The sequence below is a fragment of the Homo sapiens genome, chromosome 16 (assembly GCF_000001405.40).
Source record: "Homo sapiens chromosome 16, GRCh38.p14 Primary Assembly".
In the NCBI taxonomy this organism is placed as follows: domain Eukaryota; kingdom Metazoa; phylum Chordata; class Mammalia; order Primates; family Hominidae; genus Homo; species Homo sapiens.
In genome coordinates, this window is record NC_000016.10 from 78,500,277 (window position 1) to 78,527,507 (window position 27,231).

At 42.8% G+C, this 27,231-nt stretch overlaps 1 protein-coding gene across 2 annotated transcripts in view; it reads left to right on the forward strand.

The window, feature by feature from the left end:
• WWOX (WW domain containing oxidoreductase) overlaps positions 1-27,231 on the forward strand; it is a 1,113,014-nt gene that overhangs the window by 400,623 nt on the left and 685,160 nt on the right. The window lies entirely within an intron of this gene.

The window sequence follows — 27,231 nt, forward strand, 5'->3', positions numbered from 1 at the left end:
CTGTGGTTCCTAAGTCTCCATTCCGCTTGCCAAGATTAAATTGAATTATTCCCGCTGCCATTCAGTTTTACTCTGCACAAAATACAGCCAACATTTTTGCATTTCTTTCTTCCTTCCTCCTTTTCTTCTTTCCTTCCTTCCTTCCTTTTTCCCTTCATCTATCTTTGTTCCGCTTTTGTTTGTTTTTTTTTAGATCGCTGCATGCTGCCGCGTTGGGTTAACCATGGTAGCATTTTACCATGAGAAGCCATAGCAAGATGTGCCAGGTGCATGCTGCTGGAACACCTGGCTGAGGCTCCAACAGCATTTTCCTATGACTGAGGGTAGGGTAGGTAGATGACTCATTACAATTTATAAAATGGGGGGCTTAGCTTGGGTATCATCGTGGTTATTCCAAGCAGTCTTCCAGCTGGACTAGCTTTTCGGGAACACGTGTGTGTTTGTGCTGGAAGCCCCAGTAATATCATTTAATTCGAAAGCTTTTTTCTATGATGAATTATTCAGGCAGTGTTTACCAAAATTGTCATTGATCAGTACAGACCCAGAGAGCATGTACAACAGCGCCTGTGCTGGGCCTGCTAGGAGTCGATATTTTCTGGCTCAAAGAAGTTCCAAAAGAATTCAAAGCCAGTGTGTCTCTTTCTCTGGACGGCCAAGTGATGCAGGTACCACGCTTAGGTCTGCTGGTGTTTAGCTTGACTTAAAACCCAGCCAGGGAAATATGTTTCACTTTGCTGGGGTGCAGGTGGAGGAGGCTATTATTCTTAGGCATTTAACAGTGAAGAATGTTGGGCAGGGCAGAGGGTCAGCTGAATGGCAGGGATTCCAGGTCTCAGTTAATGCCCACAAATTTCTGAACTTTGAACATAAATACCCTCACTGCAATACATGTTTTTCTTTCTCTCTCTTTCTTTCTCTTTTTTTTTTTTTGAAAAACTTTTTTGGAGCAGCACCTGCATGTTGTAAAAACACAAAATAAAAAAAAAATAAATAAAAGCAGACCCCTTGGTTCAGATATCTTTGTTTGTGTAAATGTTTTGGCATTCTTTATGAAAATCTTCAGATTTTCAAGAGCTTAAGATGACCTCCTCTAGCCGGCTGCAGCAGTGTCTAGGTATCTGTGAATGTGTAAGAAATTGAGACAGCCTGCAAAATAGCTCACCCAGCTTTTCTTTAAAGTTCCAACCTTTTTGCTGGCTCTCTTTCAAACTGTACTGCTCACTTTGGGCTGTACGTTAGAACCACCTGAGAAGTTCTTTTTCTTTCTTTTTTTTTTTTGAGATGGAGTCTTCCTCTGTCACCCAGGCTGGAGTGCAGTGGTGGGATCTTGGCTCACTGCAACCTCTGTCTCCTGGCTTCACGCCATTCTCCTGCCTCAGCCTTCCGAGTAACTAGGATTACAGGCATCCGCCACCATGCTTGGGTAATTTTTGTACTTTTATTAGAGACAGAGTTTCACCATGTTGGCCAGGCTGGTCTCGAACTCCTGACCTGAAGTGATCCACCCACCTCAGCCTCCCAAACTGCTGGAATCTGAGAAGTTACGTGAAACTAGCGATGCCCTGGGCTAATGAAATCAGGCTCCATGGTGGGGAAGGATGTTGCGGTGGGGTTGGGGTGGCAATGAAAGGTGAAAACCACTGTGGTCCCACCTGCCCATCGTCAGATTTCGGTTCCTCTCAGAGTTAACGTAGAAGGTTTCTGGGGGCATGGACCTGAGTCTTATCCCCTTTGCAAAAGTAAGAATTGTATCGTAGCCTGACTCAGGGTTTTAGCCAACTTCTCTGGATGCTAATGCTATTCTCTTCTTTATACTTGTCTTCCTTCCCAGGCACACATCCACTGGAGCTTTGCAGGGCCTATCTGCCCTTAGCCCTCCAATATCCTTTTCATTTTCTTTAATAGTTTTATTGATATATAATGTGCCTACCATATAATTCATCTGCTTAAGGTGTACAATTCAATGGCTTTTAGTGTATTCAGAGTTTGCATCCACCATCACAATCAGTTTTAGAACATTTTCATTAACCCAAGAAAATGACCCCTTAGTCATCACCCCAAATACCTCCTCTCTCCAGTTCCTGGCAACCACTAACCAATCTACTTGCTGTTTCTATGGATTTACCTATTCTGCGTACCTCATATAAATAGAGTGATATGTTAGTCGTCTCTTGTGTCTGGTTTCTTCCTCTTAGCATCATGTTTTGAAAGTTTATCCCTGCGACAGCATCTACCAGTTCATCATTTCTTTTTGTGGCTAAGTAATACGCCATTGTATGGATATACCACATTTTGTGTATCCATTCATTAGTTCATGGATTTTGTGTCTATTATGAATAATGCTGCCATGAGCATCTGTGTTGTCCACAAGTTTCAGCATGGACTTCTGTTTTCATTCCAATATCCTTTGATGACATGTCTTGGCAGTGATGTCTATGACACTGGGCAAGTGTCTTAAAATGTTGTGCATCAGAAAAAAGTCATCATTGCCAAGGCCAGCAGATCTCGAAAAGGGGGCTGGGATACGTTGGTGATTTTTTTCATGCTCTACTTACAGTATGACTCGTAACTGTTAATGGCTGAGCTCCTCCTTAGGTGAAGAAGGAAGGCAATGGCGTTTTCTATTCTGGGCCTCCCTGCTTCCAGCGATAGCAAGGAGCGAAATGAGATGCTGTCTAAGAAAGGAAGGTGCTGCGATCTTTGATTACTACACAGCCTCGGCAGTGTTTGTATGATTAATGAGTCCATGTTTCAGACGTTCCCATTTAATGTATTTGAGCCTTCTAACAACATTGCCTTTCATATGTTGCTGACTGTTTTTGAGATTTATGAGGCCTAACTCGCAAGCGATGTGTGTCTGGATTAAGAGAACCTGAGAATCTCTATTTATGTCTGACCCCAGGAAATTCCCTTTAAGCTGCTTATCAGAGGTGCATGCTGAGAGCATGATGGGAAGATGGAGTCTTCCATCCGCTGGTAAAATCTGGAATCTGCTCTCATTTCATTTTCACTGAACTGAAAATAAGGTAACAGACCCTCAGGTCTACCTATAAGTACCTTCCAACTGTTCCACTTTTGTAAATTTAGTTCAGATAATACATATGCTGAAATTCCTATATCCCCCCCATACTCCAGATCTTCAGTGTGGAATTTAAATATAATTCCTTATTGTAAAAAAAAAAAATTTTTTTTTGATCAAGGTGATTTTGATAAACTAAATGCATCTTTAATTTTACTCACAGCAAAGCGATTCTTTATTTTCTCTCTAAAAGCATAATTGATGTGCCATGATCTTTGTCTTTGCATTTTTAAAACTGAAAGAACATTTCCACACCATTAGAAATAAGATTTCTTCTTAAAAATATTCACAAGGTGCAAACACTTACATGTGTATATGCATGATTTCACCACCAGGGGGCATTGTGGTTTGACTGTCCAGTTAAAGAGCCTGTGTTCTATCAGTTTACCCAGAAACTAGAAGGCCTGCGAGTATTTCTGATTCCTTCCAAGAAGGATTCATATCTGGAAGAGAACAGATGTCGACTCTTTTTCCTCTCTAGCAAACAGTAGTGTTGTCAAATTTGCTAAACTTAGCCAGTTGAAGATTAACATGCAATATATAATATGCATGCGACTAAGTGTACAATAAATAGTAAATCACATTTTTATGCTTTCTCTGAACTTGGAAGCTGCAAGTTATGTTTTTTTTATTCCCTGGGTGTGATGAAATAAATAACATTCAAATACATCTTAAAGATGTCAGTCAGGGGGAAAAAAGTGCTTGGCAACTGTGTTTGATAGATTTCTTTTATGATTAATTCTCCTATTAAGTTTTAATGACTTCAAAGATACAAAGCTAGAAACTACAAAACTAGGCATGGTTAATAAATAACTGAAATACCAGGTGTATAGAAATGCATCTGTGGAAAAATGAAATCATGTATTCTCTAGGATATATTAGGAAATGGCTCTTTGGCAAGTCTAGAGGGTAAAGTATCCCTGAAGGGGGAAAAGGTTTAAAAACAGTAAACTAAAGAAGATTGTTTTTCTGAAAGAAATTCCCAGGAGAAAGGTACTTTCTGAGATTCACATATGTAGATTACATTGTTATGAACCAACATTTATAAGCAAGCTTGATCTCTCAGAATGCGTTTGTCTATCTCAGATTTTCAAGAATCCTCATACAAATTGTCCAGGGTTTCCACCTCGCAGTTTTCTTCCAGGGTTGCTATGGCATGGAAAGTACATTGCTATTTTGTTATGTAAATGCTCAACAGACTGGCTCATTCCAGAAGTGGGCGTCGTGATGCCAGTGTCTTCGTAATACTATCTTTCTTTCCCCTTTAGCACCCAGAACTTATGAAATATGACTCGGTTTATCCTGAACACATCTCTGTGCATCGGGGAGGATGGGAGAATTAATTCCAGTTTCTCAATTGCAAAAGTGAGGCTGGTCATGGGGCTTGGAACCACGCCACGGACGCATGAAGCCTCCCCGTTTACATGCCAAATCCAGAGCTTATGCATCCGTGCTCAGGGCTCTCTGTGGTAGGCAACAGCTGGATTATTTACTTTCTAGAATATCTCGAGTTCTTAATCTGAGCAGTTTCGAAACCAAACCCACATTAATTAATATAAATAATGACTGGGAAACGTTGCAGGACTCCCCGGAAAAGAATGTATAAATTGATGTGTTTTTGTATATGCTTATGTATATGCCTTTGTGCACGAAAGGAGATAAATGGTGTATTTCACACAGTTCCTTCTCCTCCTCTAAGGGATATTATTGTTCCTGAATTTTTCTGAGCCGCCGAAGCACAATAGGGTTTAGAGCGTTCACACCAGGCAGCCCCCACTCTTCAGAACTTCAAATCTAAAGATCTTTTAAATACACAGAACTTACTTTTGAAAGCTGTGGCCCATCCCAAATGAATTCTAATCGTCAGCCTCTAGAATGCCTGGAGTGAGAAAACAGAATATTGTTCTTTTCTGTTTATATTATTTCATACTGAGTTAATACACTTGCCAAGACTCCGAGGCAGCTTCTGGCTTGACAATGCCTTCTTTAACTAGCCTAGTTTCTAGAATAAAGTTCGGGTCCACCAGGCCCTCTGAGTGGGGCTCAGGACACTCTGAGATGGAAGAGACTGGAGAAAGCCAATCTGTTTCTCCCTGAAAATCATCTTACTTTTTTAACGCTTCGTACCTAGATTTGGCCTGGGCAGCCCAGGGAGACTGTTCAAGCACTGGATACCTAGACTCTGCTGGGCTCTAGAGAAGTGCTGGGCTACAGCGCCCAGTGCCCTACCTCTTGGGGCCAGCCAGCCTCACCAAAAAATCACGCTTCTGGCTTGCTCCAAACTCAGGAAGTTGCTGGGAAGTCTGGCTAGCAACACCCTCATTCCCAGTCCTGGCCATGCCTCTCTGCTCTCCCTAGCACAGGGAGCATGCAGGCTTAAGGCTGGAAGAAACCCCAAGCATTTGGCCAGGAAGAGGCAACTAGTTCCAGCTGGCCCACATACTACACTTTAAAAATTACCCAGATGATCTGATTCTGTAGAGAGAGTGGGTGGAGAGGACTCCAGGGCCATGGAGGAAGATTCGGCCTTTCTCTCCCTAATCATGAGCAATGTGATTTGGAGAGAGAAGGACCCGGTTGGCTCTGCAAACCGCATTTCCTTGGCTGAACGCCAGAGGAGAGAAATGATCCGGCAAGAAGACACACCATTCCCCGTCAGCCCCTTCCCGACCCTTGCACCCCTGGATCTTCTGCTGAGTATCGGATTGGTCTGCGTCCAAGAGCTCCTCGCTTGGCCAGCAGGGGCTGCCTGGAGAAGGGGAGGACAGGCTTCGAGTTTTTTGGGTAGTGACTTCTGTGGACGTGAAAAGACTGCACCAGAAATCGGAGGCAGCCCTCCAAACATAACTTGGCCTCTTCGTTCTCCCTGTGGACACACAGGCTGTGTTCTCCTGGCCAAGAGTCCAAGCGTGTTTTTGGCGCGTGCTGACACTCTATATCGCTTTTGCTTCGGAAACGAATCTGGTCAGTGACTTAGCCACTCTATAAAAATGAAGAGCAGAGCTCGAGTGCTTATAACACGTCATTTTTACCCAAGACAGAGAAGAAAAACGAAAGAGAGCCTGAGCATTCCTTTGACTCCCTCCACCCCCGGAAGGTATATTCAGAGTCTCCAAGACTGCCTCCGCCCACTCACATGTTTATGGCCCGGTGAGACCGCATCCTCCCTTTCTATATCTGTCCCTTTTCTGGATGCAGGGACACAGAATCCCCTAAGTGGGAAGAGCTTTGGAGTGGAGGCTGTTCAAAGTTCTGTGGTGATTAATTATTACCTACCCAAGGTCTGGTCATTGCTATACTTGAGTTCTTTTCAGGCTCAAGATCTCTACCTTTTTGTGTGTTTTTTTTTTTTTTTTTTTTTTTTTTTTTTTTTGTACAGAGTCTTGCTCTGTTGTCCAGGCTGTAGTGCAGTGGAACAATCTCTGTATGCTCCCTGCAACCTCTGGCTCCAGGTTTAAGTGATTCTCCTGCCTCAGCCTCCCAAGTAGCTGGAACTACAGGCACCTACCACCACGCCTGGCTAATTTTTTGTATTTTTAGTAGAGACGGGATTTCACCATGTTGGCCATATTGGTCTTGAACTCCTGACCTCAAGTGATCCTCCCACCTCAGCTGCCCAGGGTGCTGGGATCACAGGCGTGAGCCACCGTGCACGACCTCAGGGTCCCTTCTAACCTGTGCTGTTGTCATAAACCCTGGAGGAGAAGCAAGATCTTTCTAGCAGGAGCAACATCATCCCAAATAAAGTGATAGACTTTGATAGTGTTCTTCTATTCATTCAACCAACAGAGAACAAATGAAAAGAATCAGGAGTCTATTGAGGAGACAGAACATGAGTGATTTCTGTGTGCTGACTATATTTAAAGACAAGATTAGCAGTAATATATAAACGTAAATAAGAATTTTTTTCCCCAGCCAAGAACCATAGATTGGACTTCACATTCAAAATGTAAATTGTGCCTAGGAAACATCAATGCTTATTTTAAGCAACTGACCCTTGGGATAAAAATAAAAAGTCAAAAGGAAACAAACAATGTTGCTGAGAAGTGATAGAATATTCTAGTTTATATCTCAGTCATTTTACAGCTCTGGCATTTCTGGGTAACACTTTAGAATACTTCCACTCCGGTTGGTCCATAAAAAGCTGCCTGTGTTTTTATGTTTTGAAAATACACGCAGAGAGACCCACTGCATGTCCTATTAGGCATCTTATCCTTGAGTAAGCAGGCATGCAACATCAGTGTCACACACATATCACCCCCATACTCGACATTCTTTGAGAAATGCCTTGGTCCCGTCTCCAGCCAGATCAGCATTGCACCTCTTGGCATGCGTTCTTACCTGTTGAGGATTTGCTTGAATTATAATATGGTAGAGGAGGAAACACAGTCTTACTGTGCCGTGTGCTGAGCGCAGAGCCATTCTCAGCATCCTGCCTTGATTAATAAGGCGTGAAAGATCCTCCGAATTCGCACCTGTTCAGACAAGCTTGTCCAACCCATGGCCCCCGGGTCGCATGTGGCCCAGGACAGCTTTGAATGTGGCCCCATACGTATTTGTAAACTTTCTTAGAACATCAGGATTTTTATGCACGGACCTTTTATGCATGGACTGTGGTGTTTTTTGATTTTTGGTTGCGTGCGTGTGTGTGTGTGTGTGTGTGTGTGTGTGTGACGGAGTCTTGCTCTGTCACTCAGGCTGGAGTGTAGTGGCATGATCTTAGCTCACTGCATCCTCTGCCTCCCAGGTTCAAGCAATTCTCCGTGTCTCAATCTCCCTAGTAGTTGAGATTACAGGTGCCCACCACCAAGCTTTGCTAATTTTTGTATTTTTTTAGTAGAGACAGGGTTTCGCCATGTTGGCCGGGCTGGTCTTGAACTCCTGATCTCAGGTGATCCTCCTGCCTCAGCCACCCAAAGTGCTGGGATTATAGGCGTGAGCCACTGCGCCCGGCCTTTTTTTTTTTTTTTTTTTTTTTTTTTTTTAACGCTCATCAGCTATTGTTAGTGTTAGTGTAGTTTATGCGTGGCCGAAGACAATTCTTCCTCCACTGTGGCCCAGGGAAGCTAAAAGATTGGACACCTGTAAACAAAAACAACACAGCCATCTAGCTGCAAGACGTAGCTAATTGCTCTGCAGAACAGGGTTGGCCAGCCTGGCCTTGATGTCGGAGTGTTCTCTAGACCTCACACCCAGTCCCTATTCTTAGGTTTTATTTCTCAAACCAGGTTTTGCCTGAGAAATTACAGCAAATGATTCAGAGCACAATGATGTTGCTCATTTTTGATAAGTAGTTGAAAGCTGATGGTGCCCTCCATTTCAAAGCAACAGAAGAAACGCTGGTGGTCATGGAGAAAGAGTTGGGAAGCAGAGCGTGAATGCCGGGATCTGCAGATCTGAGCACTATGCCTGCAGCCGATGTCTCTCCACAGGGCTGATCTGGTGGCTGGGGTGCCCCTGGTCAGAAGGGGTGATTACTGTTTCCTCTCTCTCCTTGGTCTCTGTCAAACCTACCAACTCTTTTCAGGAATGCAGATATTTAATTATCTTCTGCTGTTACATCTGCATCATGTATTGGCTGGCTGTTCAAAAGTATCCTCTCTAGGCAAATAACGAGATTTCGCCAGCAGGATCTCCCGTTAAAGGCGTGCATGTGTGGCTTTGTAGACACGTATGTGTGTGTGCGTGCACACCTGCCTGCCCTTGCACAGTGGGCACTGTTTCCAGTGTGCAGTGAGGCCCTCCCTTCGTGTAGAACAGGACAGGACAATGACAAAGTTATTCAATTAATAATTGAAGCTTGCCGGGCATGGTGGTTCACGCCTGTAATCCCAGCCCTTTGGGAGGCCAAGGCAGGCAGATCACCTGAGGTCAGAAATTCAAGACCAGCCTGGCCAACATGGCAAAACCCTGTCTCTACTAAAAAATACAAAAGTTAGCCGAGCGTGATGGCCAGCACCTGTAGTCCTAGCTACTTAGGTAGCTGAGGCAGGAACTCGCTTGAACCCGGGAGGCGGAGGCTGCAGTGAGCTGAGTTTGCACCACTGCATTCCAGCATTGGTGACAGAGCGAGACTCAGTCTCAAAAAAAAAAAAATAATATAATAATAATAATAATCGCACCTCAATACTCCGTAGCCATTTTACCGCATGTGACTATTAGCTGTGCTTTTGCGGTTATCTACGTCTGTTGTGTCTATACGGTGGAGTATTTGCAGACGCTCTGCCAGTGTGCAATGCTTCCCAGCCCTGCATTCAGGGATACCAACTTGGGTGCTGAAAAGCAGCGATGGCAGGACTATTTACACCACGGAAACAGGCAAAAACTACTGATCAAGCCTTCACTGTTTTGTTTATATTGTCTTGACTTAGAAAGTGATTGCAATGTTAATAATGCAGATTAAATTGAAGCGTACAGTGCCTATAAACCATTACATTATGAATAGTATAAAAAATTGAGGAAGCCGTGTGGCTCACAAATTCAGCACTTTGGGAGGCCGAGGCAGGAGGATCACTTGAGCCTGGGAGTTGGAAACCAGCCCAGGCAACATAGTGAGACCTCATCTCTTTAAAAAAAAAAAAAAAAAGAAAGAAAAATTAGCTGGCATGGTGGCACATGCCTGTAGTCCCAGCTTCTGGGGATGCTGCAGCGAGCCATGATTGTGCCACTGCTCTCTGGCCTGGGCAACAAAGAGAGATCCTGTCTCCAAGTCTGTCTGTCTGTCTGTCTGTCTGTCTGTCTGTCTCTCTCGGAAATATTCCTTCAGTGTATTAGTAAAGAAGTTACTTAGGAGTCACTTATGCCCTTGAAGAGTGAGTGATGTATCAAAATATGTCTGTCTTTATTGTTTCACTTTCATCCTTCTTTTTTTGGAGATGGAGTCTTGCTCTGTTGACCATGCTAGAGGTGGCGCGATCTCCACTCACCGCAAGCTCCGCCTCCTGAGTTCAACTGATTCTCCTGCCTCCGCTTCCCAAGTACCTGGGATTATAGACACCCACCACCATGCACAGCTAATTTTTGTATTTTTAGTAGAGATGGAGTTTCACCCTTTTGATTGGTTGGCCAGTATGGTCTCAAACTCCTGACCTCAAGTGATCCACCTGCCTCACCTCCCAAAGTGCTGGGATTACAGTCGTGAGCCACCGTGCCGGCCACTTTCATCTTTCTGATTAACTGAAAAGTATCAAGCAATACTTACATGTAACTGCACTTTCTCATCAACTGCAACCATAATTTAGCTATGGATACAAGAGTTGGGCACAAATCCATGAAAGCATTGAGTGAGAATCAATTGGCTCTGTGGGATTTACAATAAAGAATGTTGTTTATTTTTATTTGTAAATTGTGTGCTACAGATCCTTCGTATCAGTAAAATGTATGATAAACATATGTGTGTATATTCACACACACCCTTTCATTTTGGCAGGAGTGTTTGTTAAACATTTACCACAGCAGTGGATTCACTTCCATCAGCTGCTAACTTTCAAGGATGTTTGAGGATGCATGACCTGTGCAATGCACCTGCTTCGGTGCCTGGCACAGAGTCGCAAAGCCACAAAGATGGTGCTTGTTGGTTGTATGTGTTGTTTCCATCTGATATCACCATTGAGGGGAGCAAGATGACATGTGCCTACCCCACGTGTCCAGCAGCAAAGCCACCTGGCATAGTGGGCTGCTCAGCGTGCCTGGTTCATACTGCGTGTTTATAGTCCCAGGGTGTTTTCAGAGAGCAAAAGTCCTTTATGATTAGCAAATTGCAGGTCCTCCCCTTTCTGATATTTACAGCCCTTGCAACCGCCTGTACAAAAATCGGGAAAAGGCAGAAGACGGCTGTCATTAATGTAAAAGCAGCTGGTTACCTCCCCCTCCCCAGCGCACACATCACCTCCTAGTACAATTAGTCACCATGTCTTTTCCCTTCCGTCAAGCCTTTTAGCGGAGTTCACAGGGATGCCTTCGGTCCAGACACTATGACCGTTGACGAAGGATTTGAAATATTTTGAGAACTCTGAAATAATGCACACCAGAAACGTCCAGCTGAAAACAAAAAGGGAACAAGATGACATTTTGCAATCCCATGCACGTTGCAGGCACGTTGAATGTGAAGGTCAGTAGTACTTCAGAGGGCAGGCCTGTTGCCCCCAAGCCTGTTGCCTAAGAAATGCCCAGGCCCTTTGAACAAAATGGATTCGAGTGATTACAGCACGTCCTCACTTACATCTCCCAATATATTTCTTGTTATTCTCGTTGAGTACTGCATTCAGACAGAGGTTGCCAATAAAGTTTATTGTAGGAGCTAAGTGTCAATATCTGTAGTACCCCCCGCCTAGGGTGCTGCTAATAAAATGCCACAGATAGTCTGGGAGAGGCATGAAAATTTGATGGCAAATTGATTTCAGGTTCATCTTGAAATTTGTCCTCAGCTGGACTCGATACTTCTGGCAGACATGGGATGGCTTTTGTCAGAAGGGTCTGCTGGAATGAGACAGAGATGTCTTGATCTGAATATTAAATACAACATGCTGTTTATGACATTATCCGTTTACTGCTAAAATACCCAGCTACTTCTGTTTACACATTCTTCTGCGTTGAATGGGTAAGATAGCATCTCATAGATCCACTTTACATATGAAAAGAAGTTGTATCAAACTTGCTGGGCATCAGAAATAAAGGGTTTTAGAGACACTGGCTTCAAACACAAGTTATTCCATCCAAGATTCTAAACTTAGCAATGCAACTTGCACTTAATTTTAAAACGCTGGAAAAATAATGATAAAGATTGTGTGATCAAGTATAGCAGCCCTGTGGTGTTTCCTCAGAATGGTGTATTACAGAAAAGGAAAAAGCCATATACATGGAGAAGAAACTCCCGATATTTAATATTATCAATTGCTGGTTCCTGTAAATTTGCATTTATGGATCACATTATAAAAGCAATTACTCTTATGGATTGTTCATGCAGAAATGCACTATGATGATAATATACTTTTAAAAGTATATTTATTTCCAGAATTCAATTTGTAAGAGGTTTGAGGGAAAAATAATACTGAGTTTTGAGTGTTTCTGATTTTAAAAATGTGTTGAGTAGAATTAAACGTGTTCACCAAAACCCATTTTATCACTTTAAATTATTGGGCAATTAATTGTATTTACTTAGCATTGAATGCATGATTAGAAATGGAATTTTTAAAAAAGCAATACTCAAGTGGAGTGAGTTCATTTGTTCATTCAGCAAATAGGACTTGAGTCCCCTACTATGTGCGGAGCCTTAAAGGATGAGAAAGATTTCTGGGTGGGACTTCAATGAGACTCATTTCGCAGGTTTTCATGTTATTATGTATATGTGGTAAATAATTAATTTTTTCACAAGTACTTGCACTAGTGATGCTAAAATAAGCTTGACTGGCTTGTAAATCAATGAAGGTTACTGTTGCATTGCTTTGAAATTGAATTTAAAAACAGAAACAGAGCAGTCCCTTTGCTTCCGAATGCAGCCCTCCCATTGGAATCACTTTGGAAGAATCTGGATCTGCGTGTTACCCAGTCTTACTTTTCAGGCAGTCCCAGGCAGGAAGGCCCATTAGTGAAAAGAGCCCTGCATATGCTGTGGGTCATCACAGCTGCTGCTTTGCACATTTAGGAGATATTTGTGGACCTTTCATTAGGACAATTTTTATGGCCCGAGATTAAAAGTTAAAGTTAAGTAGTAAACGTAATGAACATGTGCCTTTGGAGATTCCAACTGGTTTGTATTTTCATTCTCTCCGTTGGTCATGGCCCATTGAATTTTGATGATAGCATTAAAACAAATGCCTCAAATCATTTTTGGAAGGAGACAGGATATGAATTGACAAATTAATAAAATAAATTATACTTCAAAGATGCTAAATTATCTCTTCTATGTAAGTAGGAGGCTCTCTTTTCAGATGTGGAATTTGTAGGAGCTTGAATATTCTCAAGAGAGGGTATGGGCAACATTTGATAAAAGATGTAATTATTGGGTCGTAGGAAATAATGATTGAGATAGGGTATCCACTGCCCTGGTGGGGGAATCAGTGAGGCTAGGAATCACTGGAAAATGACATTCCTTGAGACTCCTTCAATGGGTAGAGTTTGCTTTAGCTTTTCATGTATCTTACTGTATGATGGTTGCTTTTGGGTTGAATTCCACCTTGGGTTCAATTCAACATGAAAGTTAACCTTTTGGTGAAGGAATGATCCAGGGGAAATAGTAAAATATTAGCCTGTCCTCCAATACAAATTGCCTGTGAGTCCCACTGATACTTACAAATATACAGAGGTGGTGTAAAAGGATTCTGTGTCAAAACTATTAATATTTGAGAAATACAATACTTATCAGAGCCTTTGTATGTAAATGTCTCATATACCCCTCTAAGAAGGGGAGCGAATAGTATTTTCCAAACTTACGTCACCACTTACCATCCACCTGCATACTTTACACGTCTTGGAATCAACCTTACAGGGAACACTTGGTCGAAAAACAGTGTTTTCTAAATTTATATTACAGTTCCCACTCCCCCCCCCCCCACTTGTATCACTTTGTATGACAGTCTTCTTGGGAACATCCATTGGGAAACTCTTCCCTTGCAGGTGTCTGTTACAAGTCCTGGTTCACACAGTGTTGCGAAAGAATAGTTGTATGTCACAATTTTCTTTATATAGTATTTATTGAGAAACCTATTCTGTTAATAGAATGACTCAAAATCAGCCAACCCCATAAATACTGCTCAAGCATTTAGAAAGACTTTCTCTATAGAGGCTTCAGACGTCAGAAAAAAACTTAGAGAGTGACTTTCAGATACAGCAACCTAGTCTATGTTATAGAACATTCTAAAAAGAGCAGATTTTAATATCTTTCCTCCCACACTTGCTTTGACTCCCTCCTTTAGTAATTAGATAATTATGTATAATAAGCACATTAATTATGTGCAACAGCTGCCATTGAGTGTGTGCATGTACAACTGCTTGAAAACAGCTTGTGAGTTCACTATTAGGTCCATGAAATTTTTCTCCTTGGCAGGTTTTCACTATTAGTTTGCTTGACAAAGGATAGATACATTTTCCATGTGTGGAGGTAAAAGCAGTGCAGTGAGCTAAAAAGTTAGCAAAGGTGAAGTGGTCCTAATCTGCGGCCCTGGTACACTTAGATAGGCATCATTGCCTTTCCTCTGAGCTCTTGGTGCTGATAACAGCTTCCTTGACCGATAAGTGTACCAGATTTCCTTACCTGTCCCAGGGCAAGATAGCAAGAGTTTCTTGATGCATTTAAAAAATGCATTTAGTGTTGGCAAAAGGCTGGCAATTTATTATTAAGTGGAATAAGCAGTTTAAAAACAGTATGTACAGGGTGGTTTTCTGGCTATATAAACACACAGGCATTGAAAATAGATATACATAAATAATGTTACTATAATTTGTCTGCCTCCCTTCTCTCAGAAAAGACCAATGAATTATCTATTATGTGCCACTCACTATTTGAGTGCTGGGAATACAGCCCCATAAAGTGAAGTTTCATATATCAGGTAGCAAGATGGCCATGGTCTGTGTTTTGAGAATCACAGGCGTTTTTGAGGCTCATGGCTATAATCCCAGCACTTGGGGAGGCCGAGGCAGGTGGATCACCTGAAGTCAGGACATCAAGACCAGTCTGGCCAGTGTGGCAAAACCCCACCTCTACTAAAAATACAAAAAAAAATTAGCTGAACCTGGTGGTTCACGCCTGTAATTGCAGCTACTCAGGAGGCTGAGGCAGGAGAATCACTTGAACCCGGGAGGCGGAGGTTACAGTGAACCGAGATCGTGTCACTGCACTCCAGCCTAGGCGACAGAGCGAGACCCTGTCTCAGAAACAGAAAATAAAACAAACAAAAAAATACTATTCCATAGCTGACTATTTTCTGAAATGATTTTGTTACTTTTCTAATGAGAAAAAAATAGATCTCGTGTGTGGAGGGAATTGAAGATGTAATTTCAGACTCTGCGTACAGCTAAGCTCATCGTAGTTACTTAACTAACACTTAAGGAATTAAATGGCATATCTGTGTTTGAGAGGCACACTGAGATGAGACACCAGCTCTTTTTATTTATTTCTAATGGTTTGCTTGGTGTACTGGTCATTTCCCCGGAAGTGTGCAAGAAGAGGTAGGTGACTTGCATGTTGTCTATGAACGTTTTTAGAAACGTCTGGTGGAACCATCCGGGCATCACATAGCTATCTCTGTGCAGAGCCAGGCCGGATGCCTAGGTGAGATGGAAAGCTTCCGTCAGCTTTCTTGCCGGCCTCTCCTCGCAGCCGCTCCCTTCCACACCTGCCTTTTCACCTGCCAGACTGCGCGTTGCCCGTTGCCCTAGGTCTGCGTGTTCAGCACTTCTGCAACAGTTTCTTCTGCAAAGGTAACTTAGCGGAGGGTACAGGGTCTTCTTCCAATAAGTCAGCACCTTCAGTTAAAAAAAGCAATAACATTCTCCAATCTTGGCAGTCTGGCAAGGTAGAAAGACACCTGAAGGTGAACATCTTTGGCCCATGTGAAATTTTGTTACGTGTTGTTAGGTTTCATTTGTCTCTCAGTCAATCAGTCAATCAATCAGTCTCTCTCCTTCCATCCCCCCTTGTCCCCCTTTTCTCTTCTCTCCCCTTCCCTGCTCCCTCTCTTTAAGGTTTTCTCACAGATTAAGAGAGTAGCATGTGCTCATCCCAATTATTGAAACCGTGCAAATGAATAGCAAGAAAAATAGTTCTTGGCGTGCCCCTTTCTTTCCGCAGTGCCCAGGCCAGAAGTACCTGCTGCCCAAGACCACAGCTGACAGCGCCCCGGGAGTCCTTCACACTCTTCTCTGAGCTCTTCCATCCTTAAACAGACATCTATGCCAAATGCAGGGAGGGTTTGCTGTTGGCTTTTACAAGAACACTGTCCTGTTATGCCTGCTGCTCTTTGCTTGGTTTTCCCTGGACGGTCACAAACATACCTCCAGGTCAACAGTTAAAGAGAGAACCCACTTCTTCTAATAGTTGTGTAATATTCCATACTACAGATATTCTGTTATTTATGGTAGCTAGATTTCTATTCATTTTTAATTCCCATGCTCAGAGCTTTCCAGACATTTGGAAACATTTTAGAAAATTGACATCATCTCTTCAAATATCTGAACTCAGATTTCCTCTGTGATGTTGGAATCTTTAAAATATCATGCATACTTGGCCTGTTTCTACAATTTTGTTCCCCAGCCATCGTTCTCCATTTTGCACGTGTATTGTCTCCTCCTATTCCTCTGTACCCTTCACACGTGCCTGCAGGGTATATACTTTTGCACAGGCAAAAGTCCAGCTGAAATGATCCTTACTTAGCATAATTTAAACGCGAGGGTTTCCTAATGCTCCTTCCATTTAAATAATTCAAAAATCCGTGGCAAGGTACCTGAAAACTACTAAGAGAAGAGAGGTGTTAATGGACACATCATTGAGGCTGAAGCCAAACTGTGTGATTCTGTCTGCAGTTGAGAACTGTAAGAAAAAGATCAAGATTAACATTATTATTATTGGTGTTACCTCATGTCTGTACCTTTTTGGAGACTTGGGTCTGTTTCCCGAGAAATCATTTTTCCTCCTCCTTGAAAATAGTGAATTTCAAGTGGTTTTAATTTTAACTGCATTATTTGTTTGCTTTATATAGTTTTTAAAGTTTTATGAAAAAGTCTTCCATGTGTTTTTTATTTATGAAATCGGGGCAGCCATCCTTCAAATATGAAGCAGGTATCTGAGAATACTAAAATCTTACAGTGCATTTTATAGGAGTGTGAATGATTTTTCTGCAATTGACATATCAAGGAGCTTATCATCTATTATTAAGTTACCTTTTCCTGAAACAAAATATTTGTCAGATGTAACTTGGTACCCAAATGCCTTTTCTTGCTAAACTAGGAACTGTCACACACACCCACCCACCCACCCCTTTATTCTTGGTTCTCTCCTATATTTTGACATTTGAAGCATCCACAGAAAAGTAATAGAATGAGCAATTGAAAATCACCAGAACTGAAATTATTTCCAGCTATGTTTAAATATGAATGTCTTGTTCGACGCTTCGCATATGTATTTATGGCTGTGTGATATCATTATGGCATCCTAATGAATGTCTACTGAATTATGTGGGATTCAACAGGGGATACAAATGGATTTGAATTCTGTAACTGTCATATTGTGGTCCGGAGAGGGTGGAAACTGAAGTATCCCTCTGCGTCGCCACATCTGTCAAAAGTCCTCAGCGCTCCCCGCAATCCATGTCTGGTGGAAGCGCGAGGTGGTGAGGATGGAAAGGGCATGCGTTGACTTCATGTTGGGACGGGTCTTAAACTAAACACATGTCACGTTATGGAGCTGTTTACCTTGGCTTTGAGGTTTATTTCCTTCTGGATTAAGAGTGATGTCGTTTTATATAACAAGAAGTGAAAAAAAAAAAGAATGATGTTACACAACCTATTTTTTTTTTTTTTTTTTTTTTTTACTCTGAATGTGTAACTTTAAATGAAGAACCAGGACACCTCATCCTTTAGTCTTTTCTTTACTAGTGAGTGGCAGATATGTGTGGACCACAGAGATGGACTGAAAAGAGAAGTAACAGTCCTTGGTTTGTATTCCAGCCCCCACCTTCCTATGTCTTTGAGCTTGGTAATTAGATGCTTGGAGCTTCAGTTTCCCCATCTGTTGGATCAGAACGGCAGTATGTGCTCTCCAGTATTTTCATAAGAGTCACATGAAATATGTACCTACAGAGTCTATCACTGTGCTTTTTAAGTTGGGGCTTAATATGTGGTAGTTGTTGCTGTTTTTGTTATTATTATTATTAATGTTATTTTTTGTTTGTTTGTTTTTTGAGATGGAGTCTTGCTCTGTCACCCAGGCTGAAGTGCAGTGGCGTGATCTCAACTCACCGCAGCCTCCGCCTCCTGGGATCAAGTGATTCTCCTGCCTCAGCCTCCCGAGTAGCTGGGACTATAGGCACCTGGCTAATTTTTGTATTTTATATTAGAGATGGGATTTCACCATGTTGGCCAGGTTGGTCGTGAACTCCTGACCTCAAGTGATCTGTCCGCCTCGGCCTCCCAAATTGCTGGGATTACAGACGTGAGTGACCACGCCTGGCCCATAAATGTTATCTTTATATAACATACTCACAGCTCCCTTAGGAGTACTTTTGTCCATTTCTACACAATGGAAACTTATAATTTTAGCCTTAGCAACATGTATTTACTGGGCATCTAGATTTCATTTATTTAAGAACTTTTTATTGAATGCCGATTGTTCAGCAGCCACCATGCAAGGTCCTGGGGAACCAGTGGGCAGCCACACAGAGAAGGTCCCAATGGCACCAGAACAAGGCCAGCTTCCTAGGAGGTGTCTGGCTTCAAGACAGGGATTTCCTTTAGCTGGGTGGTAGAGAAATGGATTGCCTGTGATTTCACTGTGCATAAAATGACCTTTCAGCCCTTAACCTGCGACATCCACATGTGTTCTTTGGTACTCACGGGTGTTATGGTTCATAGCTGTGGTCTTCTGAAGTATAGGAAAAGGCAGCTTACAGAAAAAAACTTGCTTGTTTACTGTCTTCTGAGCTGATTTCTCACCTACTGGCAAGTGGATAGGTCTAGTTTTTGTTTAGCTGTTTTTCTAATTTAATCTTATACATGAGACAGCTATAGATGGATGTATAGTCTTTGAAGTGGGGCCAGTTGGCTCCGTCTATTAGCTGTGTGGCTTTTGTGCAGGTGACTTGTGGCCCCCGGCCTCAGGGATCTCATCTCTAAAACGAGGCTCTTGATGTTACCTGCCTTACCCAGCTGTGAAGATTAAAAGGGTTTTGTGTGTTAAAGGACTTGCGGAGTGCCTAGAACCCAATGAGGGCCACAGAGCTTGCTCCGATTGCTTTCCTGAAGGCAGTAAGCATGTTGCTCTGGTAATAGTCATCTTCACGGCCATCATTTTGATCACATTTTGGCTTAGTTTCTTCCTCTACCCTCTTCCCACGTCAGACCTTTCCATGGAAGGTAAAACATGTTAACAGTCTAATGTGTTTCCTTCTAATTTTTTTCTTCATTTATATTATACATCTATGAAATATATATATATATATTACATATGGATATATAGACATACACAGATGCATATTTAGGGTGTGCTATGGTTAGAAAGTTTGCATCCCCCCAAAATTCACAGGTTAAAATCCTAATCCTCAAGGTCGTGACGGTACTACAAAGCAGGACCTTTAGGACATGATAAGGTCCTGGGGGCGGAGGGTACTAATCCCCATGAATGGGTTTAGTGCCTTTATAAAACAGACCCAAGAGAGACCGTTATCCATTTTACCATGTGAGGAGCCCACAAGCAGGTGCCATCTATGAGCCAGAGTGGACCCTTACCCAACACCACATCTACTGGCCCCTTTATCTTGAACTTCCAGCCCCCAGAACTGTGAGAAATAAATTTGTTACTCATAAGCCACCTAAGTTATACTATTTTGGGATCGCAGCGTGAATGGACTAAAGGTTTTTGAGATTCTTTTTTCAGTAGTTTCACCTAATAAAACATGGAATCATTCTACGCATGCTGTTCTGTATTGTAGTATGGTTTTCCACACTGAGAACATACTGTGACCATGCAGTCATTTCCCAGATGGAACTTATTGAGGGACATTCACTTAGTTTCGAAAGGTTTCTCCCTCCACTCCCATCCCGGCCACAGATAGTGATGCAATAACATCCTTGTTCGCATGTCCAGTCTGAAGCTTTTATTCCTATGGGATGAGTTCCCAGGCATAGGATTGCCAGGCTGGACTCTAAATTTTGAAAATGGATTTTTATCATTCTGATGGATTACGGTGAAGAGAGCCAAAGTCTTGATAGAAACACTCAACGCAGTGAATTTTTTAGATGTAAAAGTGGATGGTACTTAAGGATACGCACATTAGAAGGAGTAATTTGACCAGCCCATCACAGTATTAATTGATTTTCATGTCTCGAAGACTTCTGATTTCGTTTTCGAGGCTGGAAAGGCAGGTGGAAAGCCCATCAGTTTTACACACATATTTTGCAGACAAGTATTAGAAAGTAACTAGCCTGCTTTTACTAATGGTTCTGTGGAAGAAACACAGCTTGAATAAATGTCGTCTTGGATGCTCAGCACAGATTGGCAGTGGATGTCAGGATTGTCTGGTGGGAAGGCTGCTGGGACTCACTCTAGACTGGGAGTGGGGTGGGGTGGGGCAGGGCAGGACGGCCCTGGCTGATTAATAATGTTTGTTATGAAGTCTAGGGTACGTGGGGAGAGCTTCATGAATCCCTGCATTGGCCACCCCTGTACCACGGCCAATGATTCACCCTCCCTAAATCCCAGGGCCAGATATTAGAACATCTGTGATGAGGACTGATTTTCTGTTCGTGGCCTCTGGAAGTCCAGTTTTTCTGAGCTCAGGGGAGCCTTGGTTGTATCTTATAGGCAAGAGACGAATTTACATTTTGCCATGGTGTTAACAAGCAAAAGAAGACAAAAGAGCTCAAAATAGACAGTGGCGTGCTGGGGTCAGGGGTGCTGGTCACCAGGGCGAGCAGTTATGGGTGAAGGGCTGAATTTGCAGGGTCAAGGAGATTGCCTCCAGGCCCCTTCTGGAAACACACTCCCTGAGCCTTGTAGAATTGAGTTGATTCTGTTTAACTGCCCAGTGAAGAAATGACTTCCTTGCTTTAAAACATTTGACAGCTGTCTTATATAACTTAATTCTTCATTCCAGTGGCTTTTGGAGCAGCCTCAAAAGTCATTTTATCTTCTTGGCTCTTTGATATTATTTGTAGTAATTTATTTAAAGTAATTAGAGACGGGATCTTGCTGTGTTGCCCAGGCTGGTCTCTAACTCCTGGCCTCAAGTGATCCTCCCACCTCAGCCTCCCAAAGTGCTGGAAATAAGGTATGAGCCACCAAGCCTAGCCTTGATATTATTTTTTAATGGGGGTGTGTGGGTGGGTGGTGATGGGGATATTCCAGCAGAATATCAGAAACAGAGATGAGGAAGGCAGAGAGAGCTCAAAGACAAGGCTCAAGTTCATATTCCAACGCCAGTACCTGCCACCTGTGTGAAGCTGGGCTAATTATGTGTTTAGGTTTCCTCCTTCGTTAAATAGAGTTCTACTTATATTACAGGGTTGTCATGCAAGTTGATGAATTAAATACGCTAATATATATAAATTCTGAGTAAGTATTAACCAAAGAAATGGAACATCAATATTGGTTCCCAGTCTAGTTCACAGGTGTTATCAAGATGGTTACCTTTCTAAGTGTCTTTTTATTTCACTAGTTCCAAAAGAGTATCTCTCAAAATATTAGGTAGTATTTAGTCAACACTTTAACACATAACTTGTTTTTTTTTTTGGCATAAGAAGCCCATGTGAAAACACAGTTGACCCTAAGCCTATGAAAAATGACTTGTGTGTGGGACTGGGGTGGCTCATAGGAGAAGGAGGATATTCGTCTGGATTTTTACTGGTATGTATATATTTTTGGGTACTGGAGATGGGGACAGTGAGTATTTGAAGCTCACAGCAGGCCCATTTTGCAAGTTTTCAGGAAACTGAAATTCAGAGAGATTAAGTATTTTGCCATGAATCACTTTGTAGTAAGTGGGAGAGCTGTTGCAAACCCACGTCTGTCTACATCCACAGCCTGTGCTCTTTTCATATACAAGGGAATATGGAGGAGAAGGGAAGTGATGGAAGGCTTTAAAAAAAAAAAAAAAAAACTTCAGAAGCTGATTTGAGATTTATTCATCTTTGGTGTACTTTCTTTACTAAGGCAGGTTGTAGACTCATGAAACCTAGAAGGAGTTGAAAAATAAGGGTTAGGATTAAAAAAAAAAACTAGTGAAATCAAGACACCATTTTGCTTAATTGAAGGCTTGCGGAACATTAAAGCACAACAAAAACCTAATTCTTTGAGTGTTTCTGAGGCCAAGCCTTTTCCCACAAGGCACTGTGTACACGGTTCTGGAAGCTCTCCTCTGTTTGCACAGTAGTCACTCATCCTGCTCTCGGGCTCTGCCTGCAGTCTCTTCCTCTGTCTCCGATGTCACTCTTCTCTGTCTTCTTCAGAAGCTGTCATATGACCTCCAGATTTCTCTTTGACTCCCTGTATTACCATTAGAAGACATCTACACTGGGAAATTGCTCAGTTCCTGTTTTTGATTAATATTTTATCAGCCGCAAGAGGAAATGGTATTCTATAGCAACACTAATAAGTAATTGAGCAGATGAGATGCTCTTGCTAGCTTTGGTAAAAAGTCGGGGCAAGGTTACAACAGAGGAGCTCTGATGAGACTTGGGATGATAAAGTCAAGTCGAATATCTGGTAGGGTTAAAAATCTAACAGTGGGCCAGGCGCAGTGGCTCACGCCTGTAATCACGGCACTTTGGGAGGCCAAGGCAGGTGGATCACTCGAGGTCAGGAGTTTGAGACCAGCCTGGCCAACATGGTAAAATCCCGTCTCCACTAAAAATACAAAAATTAGCCAGGCATGGTGGCATGTGCCTGTAATCCCAGCTACCTGGGAGGCTGAGGCAGGAGAATTGTTTGAAGCTGGGAGGCGGAGGTTGCAGTGAGCTGAGATCGTGCCACTGCCCTCCAGTCTGGGTGACAGAGTGAAACCCATCCCCCAAAAAAATAAATAAATAAAAATTAAAAAACCTAACACTGGTACGAGAAGAAATTATGCTCTAAATCCTTCTTTGAGCAGTGGCTTACAGACCTAAATTTATCAAAGGTGGTGGCAGTAATAGTAATAATTACCATCTTCATTTAAAGGCACGTATCTAAACCAAAGGACCTAAATAAAATATTAATTTTTCATAGTGTTTAATATGTGCCAGTATATATAAATTCAAGGTAAGGTAGACAGCTGTAAACTGGATCCCCTGCTGTACCCAGCAAATGCTGAGAGCCCTGCTTCCCCTCTTGTATTCAAATGGCTCTATAAGAGAGGAAGTAGTACAGCTATCAGTAACAATGCCATCCGGTAATTACCGAATCATAAATGTTTGGGGAGCTGAAGGTCACGGGCTTAGTAGCAATTCTAGTCTGATGTTTGATTCCTTGTGAATTTTAAATGCTTGTACTCTCTATCTGGGTGATGGTGTTTTAGTTGCCAGTGGACAGTCTGATGGAGGTGGGGGAAGAGTTATTCTTCCATATTTATTTTTCTCCACCTTGGGTGAAAAAACTTCGCTTTTCGTAATGTGGTACAGTGTGTGCTTCTGTAAATGGAAATGGTTTCAGCACATCACAGTCATGCTTCCCTGTTGAAAGATGCTCCGTTTTCCCGCATACATGATGTCCAGCACAACGTCTGATTTATGAGAGCATGACCCTGGGGGCCTCTGGAACAGCTGCTCACACACTCCCTTTAGGAGGCCCAGGCTCTCAGGGGAGGCCCATAGTGCAGCTAGGAGCTAGAGTTTTAGGATGAAGAAATTACAGGTAAGAACACAGCCCCATTTTAAGAAATACCAGTGATTTCTGTTTTTCCTTGTTCTTCTTTCCCTCAGTATTTTATTAACATGTGCTACTATACAAATACACAATTCACTTAGGACTCTGTTTCGTGTGGATCACATGGGAGCTTTCATTAAATTGTGGTGATTCCAATGTGAGTGGTTATCAAGTCAACATCAAATAACATGAAGTGTGTTTTAGTCGGCAAACATCACTTTGTAATTCTCTGATGTGTTTGGGTTGATTCCCTTCTTTCTGCTCTTTTTCTCTTTATAAAGTAAACATTTTTATTGCAAAGGTACTGCTATTGTTAGTTTCTAAAGGCACTTGTCATGGTGTGACTAATATTAGAAGCAGACACAGCCATGATGAGCAATACTCTTTTTTTGTTTATTTTTGTTGTTACTGCTGTAAGCCACTTTCTTCTCCCTCTCCATTAAAATGCAACTTAATTGGTAAAGTTTAGTTGACTAGAGATTTCATTTATTTATTTATTTATTTGTTTATTTATTTATTTATTTATTTGTTTGTTTGAGATGAGTCTTGCTCTTTTGCCCAAGCTGGAGTGCAGTGGCATGATCTCGGCTCACTGCAGCCTCTGCCTCCCGTGTCCAAGTGATTCTTCTACCTCAGCCTCCCGAGTAGCTGGGATTACAGTTGTGCACCACCAGGCTCTGCTAATTTTTATATTTTTAGTAAAGACGGGGTTTCACCATGTTGGCCAAACTGGTCTCAAACTCCTGACCTCGTGATCCACCCGCCTCAGCCTCCCAAAGTACTTGGATTAAAGGTGTGAGCCACCGCGCCCAGCCTGTATTTATCTTTTTAAGTAACAAAGTATTAGCATTGTGATAAATAATATTTAATATATAGTAAGGGAGGTCAAAGTATGAACTATTTTGATTTTTTATGGGTTTTTTTTTTTTTTTTAAAGAATGCGTTGATTTTGTTTTTCTTTCTTTTTTTTTTTTTTTTTTGAGGCAGGCCTTAGGTCTGGCACCCAGGCTGGAGTGCAGTGACGTGATCAAGGCTCACTGCAGCTTCCACCTCCTGGGCTCAAGCAATCTTCGTGTTTCAGCCTCCTGAGTAGCTGGAATTACGGGCTCATGCCACCACACTTGGCTACTTGTTTAATTTTTTGCAGACATAGGGCCTCACTATGTTGCCCAAACTGGCCTCAAATTCCTAGCTTCAAGCGGTCCTCCTGCCTTGGTCTCTCCAAGTGCTGGGATTATAGGCATGAGCCACTATGCCCAGCCAAATTTTGTTTTTCTTTTCTTTTTTTTTTTTTTTTTTTGAAATGGAGTCTTGCCCTGTCCCCCAGGCTGGTGTGCAGTGGCATGATCTCGGCTCACTGCAAGCTCTGCCTCCTAGGCTCATGCCATTGTCCTCCCTCAGCCTCCTGAGTAGCTGGGACTGCAGGCGCCAGCCACCACGCCCGGCTAATTTTTTATATTTTTAGTAGAGACGGGGTTTCACCATGCTAACCAGGATGGTCTCGATCTCCTGACCTCGTGATCCACCAGCCTTGGCCTCCCAAAGTGCTGGGATTACAGGCATTAGCCACCACACCCGGCCCAGATTTTCTTATAAAGTCAAATGGGAGATACTTGTTTGCAGGAAATAGTTCTTTTGGTTCTTACTTTTCCATAAGGATTGAGTCTCAAAATGTCTGGTAGCATCCACTGCATTTTGTAGGGGACAATAACAAAGAAGATGCCAGCAATATCTTCTATCTTTTCCAACATTATTCACCTCTCCCACCCAAGGACAATGGTGGGCTGGACAGAGCATTCAATGACCGAGAATCTACCATAAGCTACTAGGGCCACATCTTCCCCTTTCTTCTCCCCCAGGTTTGTCCCATTTGTACTGACTCTGACCCAGGTTGTCATGACTTGAGACTCACTAGAAGTTTCAGAAAGATGCACACTGCTTTAAAAAAAAAAAAAAAAAGGGCAAGGGGAGGTGTGAGAAGAAAGTATAATTCTTTTTCTTCTAACGGGAGATATAAAAATCATATAAGCATGATTTATCATTTGATTGGAACATTGTATTTTATGGTTGCAGAGCACATGTATCATCCTATCTGCTTCTGACACCCAGTAAGCAGCTCTGGCTTTTATAATTTTGATGAAAGAGGTTTCCTAACAGTATTTCGGTGTGCATGCTCACACACCAGCCCTGGTCATCAGTGAACAGATTCTTCCAGGTCTTCATTGTAGCGGAAGAAAGTGAGATCAGAGATCCCGAGGAAGGGCTTCAGTTTCACCAGTAGTGGAGCTAGGGAGTAGCGGGGCAGAAGCCGCAGGAAGTCAGTGCAGGACGCCGGAGGCCACTCCTAATTGCTTCATGTGTTGTTGCCGTGCTGATGACCTTGGAGGCGCTGCTGGTCCTGGATCCTTGCGACCTTTTCTTCCAAGAGGAAATGTGGTGCTGAGCCCCCCTTCCACTGGCTGTGACAAAGAAGGACCCCTCATGTGGGGGCCTAATTCTAGTGAATCCCCAAAGGTACATGTTGAAATAGGGAAAAGGCCCAGGTGAGGCTGTCTATGTAATAGAGAAGATCCATTGCAAAATGAAAATATGGGGTTCTAGCCAGGGGCAGGGAACTTAATCTCCCTTTTCCATGGGCCCAACACCTGAATCTAGGGCAAACAGGTGTCCCCCAGATTGGATCCTCTGCTCTAGGACACATTCTTGTCCTAGAGCGGGTTGGGCAAGAGGCTTTTCTCTCAGTCACCAGCCCCAAACCCTGTGGTCTTGCCAGCCCAGGACGTGTCAAGACTGCAGCCTTTGCTGACCTGTGACCATCTCCAAGTCCATGCCCAGGCCCCTACTAGGAGTTGAGGGCAACAGGGGCAGTGGGTCTCTCCTGCTTAGGAAATTTGGGTTGAGGGTGGCAGTGATCTTGAGGGGGGTCTGGGAGGGAGGAGCCAGCCTGGCCTGGTCTGGCCTGGCCCAGTGTGCCAGCGAGGGCAGGTGCAATGGCTCACGCCTATAATCCCAGCACTTTGGGAGGCCGAGGCAGGTGGATCACCTGAGGTCAGGAGTTCAAGACCAGCCTGACCAACATGGTGAAACCCCATCTCTACTAACAATACAAAATTAGCTGGGTGTGGTGATGCACACCTGTAATCCCTGCTACACAGGAAGCTGAGGCAGGAGAATCGCTTGAACCCAGGAGGTGAGGTTGTGGTGAGCCGAGATCATGCCATTGCACTCCAGCCTGGGCAAAAAGAGCGGGGTAAAAAAACAACAAAAAAATGATGTAGGAATGAACAGATGAACAACCCCACACAACCTAAGGACGACTTTGAATCAATTCTTCTAAGCTGGTAGCAGAAGCCACCTTTCCATTTGACTTGTATCTCGCTCTTTTTTTCTTTCTTTTTTTTTTTTTTGGAGACAGAGTCTCACTCTGTTGCCTAGACTAGAGTGCAGTGGTATGATCTCAGCTCACTGCCACCTCTGCCTCCTGTAATCAAGAGATTTTCCTGCCTTGGGCCCCTGAGTAGCTGGGACTATAGGCATCCACCATCACACCTGGCTAATTTTTGTATTTTTTGTAGAGGTGGAGTTTCGCCATGTTGGCCAGGCT